The sequence below is a fragment of the Homo sapiens genome, chromosome 16 (assembly GCF_000001405.40).
Source record: "Homo sapiens chromosome 16, GRCh38.p14 Primary Assembly".
Classification (NCBI taxonomy): domain Eukaryota; kingdom Metazoa; phylum Chordata; class Mammalia; order Primates; family Hominidae; genus Homo; species Homo sapiens.
This window is the reverse complement of record NC_000016.10, coordinates 33054229-33067186: the sequence shown is the minus strand read 5'-3', so window position 1 is coordinate 33067186 and position 12958 is coordinate 33054229. Positions and strand designations below refer to the sequence as shown.

At 38.8% G+C, this 12958-nt stretch overlaps 1 pseudogene; it reads left to right on the top strand.

Moving 5' to 3' along the window:
- Window positions 1–6644: 6644 nt before the first annotated feature.
- LOC107984809 (translation initiation factor IF-2-like) lies at window positions 6645–9690 on the top strand (annotated as a pseudogene).
- The last annotated feature ends 3268 nt before the right edge of the window (window positions 9691–12958 follow it).

Below are 12958 nucleotides of genomic sequence, written 5' to 3'. Positions count from 1 at the left end.
TAGACTGTTCAAGAAAGTGTGAGTAGTGAATTCCTCAAACTCTTGCATATTCAAAATCACATTTTTGAACCTTGATGCTTGAAGTGTAGCTTGGGTAACAGATGGGCTTTAAGCCAATTTTGGCATGCAAGGGGTTGAGTTTATTAGGCATCAGCACTGCTGAAAATCGTGGGGATGCAGGCTTAATTTCAACACTATTCTAAATACTTGAAAGATATTATATAAGTCTTTAATAAACTCCTGTGTCTACAAATGGTTCACATTAACTCAATATCCATGATTAAACATCTATAAAATCAAGGCACTGTTATTTAGTGGAGACTTGCTGGCTATTCTATGAGAGGAGGTATTGTTATTGTAATCTCGTCATCTCATAAAATTGTATCATATTACTCATAACCAGCCCTTCATATCCTATTCCTATTTTGGTATTTTAAAATAAGATATCTTTGAAACTCTTGAATTCAAAGAGGGAATCTGAATAATTTTTAAAATGTCAATGAAATGCCCTTTCTTCATGCTTCAACAACTAAAAATTGACTAAAGTGCTTCTCTTCAATCTTTCTGGAACATTTTTTATCTAAATTCTAAGAACAATCACTATAGGTTTTAACCACAAATGTGAAAATATTCTAAATGTTAGGGTGGAACAATTTTTTAAATATTTTATAGTAATTTTTTTCATCATAGTGACAGTGTGCTAAATTTTTTTAAGCCAACTATTACTGTAGACATTTAAGTCAGGATTCTAAGAAGCTGTGCTAAAGTCCAAAATTTAGTTTCATGTACACTGATATTATATATATATTTGCTTAAAAAATTAATACATGTGAGCCGTGTTTCAAATAGTTGAGAGATTATTATATCAAATATTCTTGATTATATAAAATGCCAATTACTTATAGGCAGACATGCTTTAAATAATTACTAAGGCAGTTGTGGTTGATTCTACTCTTGCTACTGGCATTTATAAGGACATACTATTATGGTCTGAAGAATATTTAGGCAAATTTATCCCTCATATGATCAGAAGAACAATGCAAGATAGTTTATATCTGAAAGGAAAAATATCTTTATATGGTTCTGAAAGCGTAAATCATTAACAACTTGGATAATAATTTGCATAAAAATACACAAACATGCCCTCTTCCTAGCAGTAAGTACACAGTGACAACAGAATCAAAGCATGTGGCTATGTGCATGTTTATATTTCAAGACGCAGAGCACTCTATTCCTCCTCTCTGCCCTTTCTAGATGGCACAATCCCTCATGAATCTAAGTGCAGTCATAGGGTGGATTAGGGTGACCTGCCATTTGTATGCAACTGATCTCTAGTTTGGAAGTAATTAATGTCAAAATATATTTTTAAAAGATAATTTCAAATTTCAGGGCAAACTAGCATGGTTTCACCCCTTTTCTTTGGAACATTTTTTCTAAGGTTGGAAAAGTAAGGTAGGCTTTAGTACGATTTTAAATAATAAGTTTTCAAAATGAGACGCAAAATGGTGGCGCCAACACATTTCAAATCTGCTACATTTTGAAGACACTTATTGGAGAAAAGACCTTCTCATTTTTCTCTTACAGGAAAGGAAATAACATGTACAGTTGACCCTTAAGCAACACGGAGGTTGGGGTGCTGGCCCCCTGCACAGTAGAAAATCCACTATAACTTTGACTCCCCCAAAACTTAACTACTAATAGCCTACTGTAAGCCTTACAAATAACACAGTCAATTAACACATATTTAATATGTTATATGTCTTATATACTGTATTCTTAACAAACATGCCAGACAAAAGAAAAAAGAAAATCATAAGAAAAATAGATTTACTAGTTATTAAATGGAAGTAGATGATCAAACAGGTCTTCATCCTCATCCTTTTCATGGGCAGGGTGTGGATAAGGATGTAGAATTGTTGGTTTTGCTAAGTGGACGTGCACAGTTCAAATCCCTGTGGTGCAAAGGCCAACTGTATAGCCATTGAATAGCAATTTATTTTTAGAAATTAACCTCACTAAAATACTCTTAGAAGGATGCCAAGAAAAAAAGTGAATAAGTATTTTTGGTTCATCTATTACATCATTTCCTTTCATTATTTCATTTCTTTTCATCATTTCATTTCATTTCCTCATTTCATCCTTTCATTTCATCATTTCATCATTTCATCTCATTTTATCATTTCATTTCATTCTTTCATTTCATTTCTTCATTTCGTCTCAACATTTCATTTCATCATTTCACTTCATCTCATCATTTCATCATTTCATCTCATCATTTCATTTCATCTCATCATTTCATTTCATCTCATTTCATCTTTTGATCTCATCATTTCATTATTTCTTTTCATCTTTTCATCTCATTTCATCAATTCATCATTTCACCTCATTTCATTTCACTTCATTTCATTGTTTCATTTCATTTCATCATTTCATTTCATCACTTCATCTCAACATTTCATTTCGTCATTTCACTTTATCTCATTTCATCATTTCATCTCATGATTTCATTTCATCTCATTTCATCTCATTTCATTTCCTCTCATCATTTCATTTCATCTTTTCATCTCATCATTTCATCTCATTTCATTTCACCATTTCATTTCATTTATTTCATCATTGCATCATTTGACTTCATGTCATCATTTCATATCATTTCATCATTTCATCTTTTCATTCCATCATTTCACTTCATTTCATTTCCTCATTTCATTTCATCCTTTCATCATTTCATCTCATCATTTCATCCTTTCATTTCATTATTTCATTTCATAATTTCTTCTTATTGTTGCATTTCGTCATTCCATCATTTTATCATTTCATCTCATCATTTCATCATCTCACGATTTCATTTCATCCCATCATTTCATCTCATTTTATCTTTTCATCTCGTCATTTCATCATTTCATTTCATCTTTTCATCTCATTTCATTTGATCATTTCATCAATTCATCATTTCATCATTTCATTTATTTCATCATTTAATCATTTAACTTCATTTCATCACTTCACTTCATTTCATCTTTTCATATCATTTCTTCATTTCACCATTTGATCTTTTCATTTCATCATTTCACTTCATCATTCATTTCATCATTTCATTTCATCTCATTTCATTTCACTTCATTTCATTGTTTCATTTCATTTCATCACTTCATCTCAATATTTCATTTCGTCATTTCACTTCATCTCATTTCATCATTTCATCTCATGATTTCATTTCATCTCATTTCATTTCATCATTTCATTTATTTCATCATTTCATCATTTGACTTCATGTCATCATTTCATATCACTTCATCATTTCATCTTTTCATTCCATCATTTCATTTCATCATTTCATTTCATCCTTTCATCATTTCATCTCATCATTTCATCCTTTATTTCATTTCATCATTTCTTCTCATTGTTGCATTTCACCATCTCATCATCATTTCACTTCATCTCATCATTTCATCATCTCATGATTTCATTTCATTTCATCTCATCTTTTCATCTCATTTCATTTCATCATTTCATTTCATTTCATCTTTTCATCTCATTTCATTTGATCATTTCATCAATTCATCATTTCATCATTACATTTCATTTCATTATTTCATCATTTAATCATTTCACTTCATCATTTCATTTCATTTCATCATTTCATGTCATTTCTTCATTTCACCATTTGATCTTTTCATTTCATCATTTCATCATTCCATTTCATTTCCTCATTTCATTTCACAATTTCATCTCATCATTTCATTTCATCATTCCATTTCATCATTTCATTACATTTCATCATTTCACTTCATCTCATCATATGATCTTTCATTGCTTTATTTCATTTCATCTCATTTCATTTCATCATTTGACTTCATCTCATCATTTCATCACATCATTTCATTTCATCTCATCATTTCATTTCATCTTTTCATCTCCTCATTTCATTTAATCATTTCGTTTCATTTCACCTTTTCATCTCATCATTTCATTAGTTCATCATTTAATTTCATTTTTTCATCATTTCTTCATTCACTTCATTTCATCATTTCATTTCATCATTTCATATCATTTCCTCAATTCATCATTTCATCTTTTCATTTCATTTCATCATTTTATCATTTCATTTCATTTCAGTTCATTATTTCATTTCATTATTTCATTTCATTTCACCATTTTATGTCATCATTTCATCATTTTTCATCATTCCATTTCATTTCATCATTTCATCTCATTATTTCATTTCTTCATTTCATCATTTCATTTCATCATTTCATCATTTCATTTCATCATCTCATCATTTCATTTCATTTCATTGATACATGTATTTAATTGCTAATGCGATGCCCAGGAAACACCCTATTTCCCTTTGTAAAACACCTCCTTCAACAAAAGGCAACTTCTCGTGGCTGGTTAAGTCTACACGGATACCAGCCTCTCTTCAACCACCCAATTTCATTTAGAACCTCAAACAGCACCTCAGTTTCATAAAAACCTAAAACATAAACACAACACTTGGTTGTAAGTGAGCCAACAGTTTTTTGTCTCTTTCTCTGCTCAAGGCTTAAGGCCGTGTCTCCCCAACTACATTCAGTGGAAGAAAAGATCCCCTGGACAAATAAGTTTGAGAATTGTTGTTGCAGGAATTCTCAGAACTTTCCAAACACAAATCCTCATCCGCAGGGATCTTCAGGAGGGAGATGGCTGATGCAGCACAATTTTCTTTCACAGGAGTATCTTGCAGAATACAGTATGAGATCCAGAAAGGCTGCATTGAGTCTTTTTAATGGCCCGGGCCTTGGTGGGGATGGGGTAGGAGCTCTCCAGATAGCATTTAATGAGTAGGAACATTCAGGTGGCTTTTCTTTTTCCTTATTGGCAAAACTGTGTGTACACCATGAATGAAGCTGGTCTCCCTTATCCATGTCAAAACTAAACCCAAATTAATTGGCTAAATTGGGACTCAACACCTCCAGAAGCCACGCGGCAGAAAGCCCCAACACACTTTAAATTAGCTTACCTCATCATATTTGAGGAAAGCAAAACGCATATGACCAGTATGCTGCTAATACAAGTCTACAGATGATGCTGTATGAAAAACTAGTTTTCCCAATCATAGCTGGCATAGTCCACATTTTGCATTACACTTCCCCCCCTTTTTTAAAAATTTTAAACACAGGTCTTTTTATCTTCTTTTTTTCAATTTTAATTAAATTATACAAGACCGAGTCTCAGTATGTTGCCCAGGCTGGTCTTCAACTCCTGAGCTCAAGCGATACAGCTGTCTCCGCCTCCCAAAGTGCTGAGAATGCAGGCCTGAGACACTGTGCCTGGCCTTAAACACAAATCTTAATTCATTCTTACAATTATTCTGAGGTTACAAAAATGGAAGGGGAAGAAAAATGGAAAGTAGGTAGGCTGACTTCGGCTTCATTATTTGGAAGGACAGTTTGCTCGGTTAAAACACACTACTGCCTACAAAGGCCAAGACAACAGAAATATACAGACTTACATAAGTAGATTTTATATGTGACAGCAGTTTGAATGGAGACTTTTTCAATGCAATGAGAAACAGCTGTGCTTGGGAATAAATGACAACGAATTTTTTTTATCTCAACAGCTGTCCTGAGACCATGTTATCTCTACCTGCATTCTGGAATCAGGGAGAAAGCCAAAACTGACGACAAGACACTAGATCAGCCATGTCCAACCCTTTGACTACAAGGACTTTTCCACCTATCTGTGGTGGTGGGTAGCATGAAAATTATGCACAAACCTTTTTTTTTTTTTTAACCTCATCAGCTGTTGTTAGCATTAGTGTATTTTATGTGCAGCCCAGGAGCATTCTTCTTCCAATGTGGCCCTGATAAGCCAAAAGACTGGACACCTGTGCACTAGATCAAAAGGCTACTCCTTCTGGAAGCAATTGTAAAGAATTTCTGACATAATCTTGACATGAAAACCAATGGATAGTGGGACAGAATGCAAAATCTTGAAGAATTTTTCTTGTCTTTTTTTTTTTTTTTTTGAGTCACGGTCTTGCTCTGTGGCCCAGGCTGGAGTACACTGGTGAGATCAGAGCTCAGTGCAGGATCAAGTGCTCCTCCCGCCTCAGCCACAGTAGTAGCTGGGACTACAGATGCGCACAACCACCCCTGGCTAATATTTTCTTTTTTGTAGAGATGGGGTCTCACTATATTGTCCGGGTTGGTCTCAAACTCCTTGACTCAAGGGATCCAGGAAAGGATAACAGGTGGGAGCCACCACACCTGGCTATGTGCATGAACTTTTAAGACAAACACAGGGCCCCACAAAAGTTAAGGTTTTTCCCACCTAATTTCCAGGGGGATCTTTTGGTGCACGGCTGAGAAGCCCTTAAAAGTACACAGACAACTCCAAAGATTCAAGACAGTTCATTCGGGCTGAGCCAGCCCACTGGGCAGACTGACCTTCAAAAAAGACCCACCCATGACATACACCAGATGGCTCTCCAAGAATCCCTTCAGTCCTCAGGGTCCCTAACGTACTGGACAGAGCTAGGAAAGCAAACCCATTTGCTTCTTCCTGCAGGAAACCCCTTGAGGTTAAGACCCCACAATCACATGAGGATGGAGTGGCTCACCCTCAGTCAACAGGCCAGACTCAAGGTGGTATAATGTCTTACCTAAGGGTGGGGGCCTCCAGGTCTGACTCCCAACTCAGTTCTTCTTTAATAACCACACTTTGTTAATTTTCCTTAACAGGGGTTCCTGGCAAGTCATTTCTCCCTCAGGCCTTCGGTTTCCTCACCTACAAGATGAGAGGGCTGGACCAGATGGAAATTCAGGGGGTAAGGGGATGTCCTCGCTCAGCCCACCCCCACCCCCACGGGACCCTGGAGCCTCCATCCCAGTTCCCACCACGCGCCTGCTCCACAAATCCTGCCCAAGGTGAGGGCTGGTCCCGGGTCCTCTGGCTGCCGCGTCAGCGAGTGCAGGAGGGAGGGGAAGCCTCCAAGGGGGTGACGTGGGCTCAAGGATGCAACTCGGCCAGGAGTGAACTGGGGCCCCGAAGGAGGTGTCCAGGCCACTCCTGGAGCCCAGCCCGGGTCCCCGAACCCCTTACCTCCAGGGTCTGTATCTCCTGCTGGGTGAGGTCATTGGACACAGCGCACTTGGTGCACAGCCCGCACAGGCTGCCAATGAAGATGACGATGAGCTTCTGGAGCTGCCCGCACTGCTGCAGCGCCCGGCTGGCCGCAGCCCCTGTGCCACCCTCCGTGGCCGCCGCATCACCCCCGCCACCGCCCTCCTTATTCTCTCCCATCGCCTCCGCAGGCAGCGCCACTCTATGCAGGCCACAGGGGCCTAGGCAAGGAGCCCGGGGCGCCGGCGCCTCGGCAAGGAATCCCTGAGCCAGGAGAGCTGGACCAGGAGCACCCCTGGTCGCTGCCCTTGCCAGGACGCCAGTAGAGCCGGCAGCCGAGTCTGCTGCTCCCGCCCTCAGAGCCGCGGCGGCGGGGACAAAAATCCTCGGCGGCGGGGGCAAAAAGTCGCGGTGGCAAAAAGCGGCGGCGACGGGGGCAAAAAGTCGCGGCAGCAAAAAGCCGCGGCGGCGGGGACAAAAAGCCGCGGCGGCGAGGGCTAAAAAGCTGCGGTGGGGAAAAAGCTGCGGCGGCGGGGGGCAAAAAGCCGAGGCGGGGTGGGGGCAAAAAGCCGCGGTGGGTAAAAAGCCGCGGGGGCAGGGGGGAAAAAGCCACGGCGAGGAAATAGCCGCAGCGGCCTGGAGGCAAAAAGCGGTGGGGTTCAAAAAGCGGCGGGGGGCAAAAAGCCGCGGCGGTGGGGGGTGGCAAAAAGCGGCGGGGGGCAAAAAGCCGCGGTGGCAAAATTCGCAGCGGCGAGGGGTCAAAACGCCGCGGCGGGCTAAAAGCCCTGGCGCTGGGGGGGCACAAAGCCGCGGCGGGCAAAAAGCCATGGCGGCAAAATTCGCAGTGGCGAAGGTCAAAAAGCCGCGGTGGTCAAAAAGCCTTGGCGCTTGGGGGGCAAAAAGCCACGGCGGGCAAAAAGCGGAGGCGCGGTGGGGGGAAAAAGCCGCGGCGGCAGGGGGGGGCAAAAAGCCGCGGAGGCAGGGGGGGGCAAAAAGCCGCGGAGGCAGGGGGGGGCAAAAAGCCGCGGAGGCAGGGGGGGGCAAAAAGCCGCGGAGGCAGGGGGGGGCAAAAAGCCGCGGAGGCAGGGGGGGGCAAAAAGCCGCGGAGGCAGGGGGGGCAAAAAGCCGCGGAGGCAGGGGGGGCAAAAAGCCGCGGAGGCAGGGGGGGCAAAAAGCCGCGGCGACGGGGGGGCAAAATAATGGAGATGGGGTAGAAGGCCGGCACAGCTTGGCATTGCTGGAATGGGATGTGATAGGAAATGTGAAGCCAAAGACAAAAAAAGATGTAAGTAGGCTTGACTCATTGAAGCTAAGAACCCAGATGTTATCTTGAGGGTATTAATTAATAAGCAGTTTAAATCAGAATGGCACATTCTGATTTGTTTTTTGTATGTTCACATTTGGCAGGCATAGATACTGTTTGAAGAGAGAAAAGTCAGTAGAGAGAGGTAACAAACTTAAATATGTGCCAAGTCTAGAAACAAGAGACCAGGGGTATAAGGACCTTTCAAAATAAAATGCAAGATTTGAAAACTGATTGGCTGGGGGATGAGGAAAAGGCAGATCTTTAAGGTCCATCCCTGTTTTGCTTTAAGTTGTTAGGGGGTGGTTTTATCACATGTTGTAGAATATGTCATTTCAGTTTTGAACATCTTGAGTTAAATTGTCCTAACATATCTTATGAATTTGATTTTCTTCCCTGGGAAGCTAATATTTCAAACACTTAAAGAGTATATAGATTTCCAACTTGTATCCCATTTATAAAACTATCTCTAGGCTGCTGATTTCAGGAGGAGGCTCATGAATATTCTCTTTGCAGAGAATATATCAGGAGTTAACAACAGCTTCAATATTTGTGGACGACCAGTTAACTAAGCCACCTCTTAGTGTCTTTAGTTGGGAAATCTTAGCTGAAGATATTCAATAATGAACCAAGAGTGACTAAAAAATTCAATATTTAAGTATATTTCATTGTAATTAATTTGAATTGAAGTAGCCATATACAGCTAGTATTTACTATATTGAACAATGCAAATAAGAGGAAAAAATTAATAACCATCGCTAATACCACATGCCAAAATCCTCATCAGTTTATTCTAGCTAAAGGAGTTGATCAGAAGCAGCAGTTGAAAGCACCAACTAAACCAGCTGGGGTGAGTTCACTGTCATTCTCTCAGAACCATCTCTTCTCTGAACAAAAGTACAAGAGTTCATTGTGAATCTCCATTCTCCTTGCCTATTTTATGGTTTTGATGTTGACACTAATTTGTGAAATCCCTCCTGTGGTGTGATATTTCGTTTTCCTTGCTTTCTGTTAGGACAAGAATGCTTCAGCTCTTAATTTAAAATTATGTTTCTCCCTCCTAGGTTGAGTGAACTTAGAATGCATTCTCTGACATATCCAAGATTTTGTTAATATGAATTTCGGGAAAAAAGCATACTTAATTAGCTAAGACGTCTTATTCTAAGCTTGACCCTATGTTCGACATCTTTTGAATTTCTAGTTGCATGGGCTGCTCTCTGACACTGGTTAGTGACCTGGAAGCTATATTAATGTTAGGGGAGGTGGTGTATGAGCATTAGAGGTATCCTTGCAAGGAAAGACTTGTCTTATCTCAATACGTCTTTTTTTTTGCACACAAGAAAGTCAATGTCTGAGTCTTCTAAAGTCTTCCTATTTCCAAATTGCAGATTATGATTGGTTCCTAAACAAAGACCTAATTTTTGACTCAGAGACGTGGCAAGGTAGTGAATCACCGTTATAATTTAACAATCTTCAAGATAAAATTATCTCTGATATTTAGATTTTGCCCAATTATTAAGATATTTGGGTGTTTCGTTAAGAATGGAAGACTCTAGTCTCTTGAGCAGAGACTATAAAGGCCTCAGATGATCATTTCAAATTGTATGCCCTTTTCTTTAACACCTTCAACACAGTTGGAAGCAGCCGATATTCCCCAGAGTTGTTGTGTTTTTTAAACCAAATGCATGGTTCAGTGGTAGAAAACTGGGTTGATCCAAGCTGTTTTCAGTAAACACTTCATTTCAGGTGACCTATTTCATATTAAATAATCTCTAGATCCTGTCTTCGAAACTAACTAGATCAGATAACCTACCCTGGATTTTCTCCTTTTAGGGTCTGTGAGCTGCAGTCACTTTTGCGAAAATGATTGCAATGACAAGATAGAGTTGTAGATGGGGAAAATGTTTTGACTAATTTAAGCATAGTGGTATTTCATATGAGAATTTAAGTTACACACATTTGAAAATTATAATGGAGTCTCTTGGCTGAGCTTTAAAAAAAAATAGCGTTTAGGCTAAAAAGGGAACTGCTACCTCTCCTAAAATCAGAAAGATGTTACAGTAATTCTCCATTCTCTAGAATTATCAAGAAGCACCTTTGTGATGATTTACTTTTGCTCTTGGGAGTGTGAGCCCGTGCAGTCGTGGAACCATCAATTAGAATGGTGGCTTTCTGATCCCAAAGTCATTTGTTCTGAAAACAATATTTTTCATAAATTTGAAAGTGAGAAGTTTTGATCTTGCCATTCCCAAGTAACTCTCTTAATAAGAGGCATCAGCATGCTTCAGTGACAGCTGTCACCTTCCATTGCTGAGAGTCATCTTTGAGTTCTCCATTTCACTCCCTACACTCCAATTTAGCTGCAGTTCTCTTGGCCAGTCCTATGAAATACATCCATGGCCTAACGACTTCTCACCACTACTACCACTCATCCTGACAGCATTCTCACCTAAGTCACTACCTTTTTTCTCTGGATTAGAGTAGCCTCCCAATTTATTTGCTCACATAACCTATTTATTCTACACAGTGCACCAGATACACCCCTTTGAAATGCAAACACAATCATGTTATTCTCTGGTGAAATTATCTCATATATTCCTATCGCATTTAAAATTAATTCAGAATCATCCCATGATTGTCAAAACCCTACATGCTCTTCCACAACATGGTTTACTTCCAAGATATCTCTTCAACTTTTTTTTCACTGTACTGAATTGGTGACTAATAGTCATATTTTTGTTTTTGCTCAAAAAGTCTTGACTTGTGAATTTTTCAGTTTCTCCTTTATCCACAGGTAACTCTTTCCTCATAAGGCGAATTGCTTGCTTCCTTGAGTTCTGCTCTCAAAGATACCCTTCATTTTCTACCTAATATTAATAACTTTAGTCATTCATTATTCCATTACTATGCTCTATAGTGTATACAATTTCTGTTCTTTGTCATGTTATTAACTAAATTATTTATTGGGTCCAGTAACGTATTCCATAAATATTGTACACATAAAAATTGTGTTATTTTTATTCCTGTATGCTCAGCTGCCCAATAACAGTCTGAGGATTAACATATATGTTAAATGCACAAATACATTCTTTCACAAATATTAGTTTAATAATTTTATATTAAACTCCCTCTATACTTACAATATGAATTAGATAATTCAGAATAAACATTCCATTGGAAAAAGCTACACAATTTGTTATAAAACATCCTTAAAAGCATCAGAAAGTTAATACAGCAATGAAGAATTACAGGACCAAATTAAGAATGGTATGAAAGCCTGTTTGTGACGCTTATGTTTGGGTTATCTCTTTATTTGAGTGACTATAAATCTCAAAAGAGAACTAAAGGGAGAAATAACCGTATCTACTAACATGGTAAGGGTACTTAAACATCTCTTAGTAATTGAGAAAATTGAAAGAAAAGAAAAAAGAGAAAGGGAGAAAGAGAAACAGCGAAAGGGATAATGAAGGAGAGAAAGAAGAAGAGAAAGGAGGAGGAAGAAAAGTAAAAAGGAGGAGGAGGGGGAAGGAGGAAGGAAGAAAAGTGAAAAGAAAGAATGGTAAACTTTTTAACAACATAATTTATCCTTCTAGAATATGAATGCTGGTCTATTTGATGATGTCCCACAGATTCATTAGTCTCTGCTCATTGTTTATTTTTTATTCTTTCTGTTTCTCAGAGTCAGTGTTTTCCATTTTCTTCTCTTCAAGTTCATGGCTTCTTCTGTATGTGCAAATATACTCTTAAATCCCTCTGGTGATTTTTAAATTTTTATCATTGTAGTTTTCCACTCCAGAATTTCTGTTATCTCTTTGCTGATATTCCTACTTTTTAATATTTTTTCTGATTCCTTTATTTCTTTGTTTATGTTTTCCTTTTCACATTTGAGTATAATGAAGAGAGTTGTTTAAAAGTCTTTGTCTGGTAAGTTTGATGTCTGGGTTTCCTTAGGGATGTTTTCCGTCAATTAATTTTGTTCCTTCGAATGAGCCACACTTTTCCATTCTTTGTATGCCTTGTAACGTTTTTTGAAAACTGGACATTCTAATAATTATAATTACTATGTGGTTACTCTGTAAATCAGACCCCCCCCCCTACAAACACAGTAATGTTTTGTGGTTTTAAATTTTCTTTACTTATTATATTGTTAAGGATTTTTTTTTTTAGTGAAATTTTCCTAAGTGATTTACAAAACTATTTGCTTTATAAGGTGTGGTCACCGAAGTCTTTTTGTTTCCTTAACAAATGTTAAGCTAATGTTTTGGCAGTGACTTTCTTGTATGTCAGGAACCAATGAAACAGGCAAATAAAAGAAAAACAAAAAGAAAAGCAAGTAATCATTGTCCAGCAAAATATGTCTCTAGGCCATGCAGACTGGCTTTGTGCTGGGTTCTTTAAAGCCAGAACAAAGTGTGTGTTCACTCTTGCACTGAATGAAGTTCAAGTTCATTCTTGCACAGAGGTTGCACTGAGGGGAGGGATCGGCCAAGGTAAAAGTGTAGGATCTTCTTATGACATTTGTCAGCATGTGGCTTAACCTATGAATAC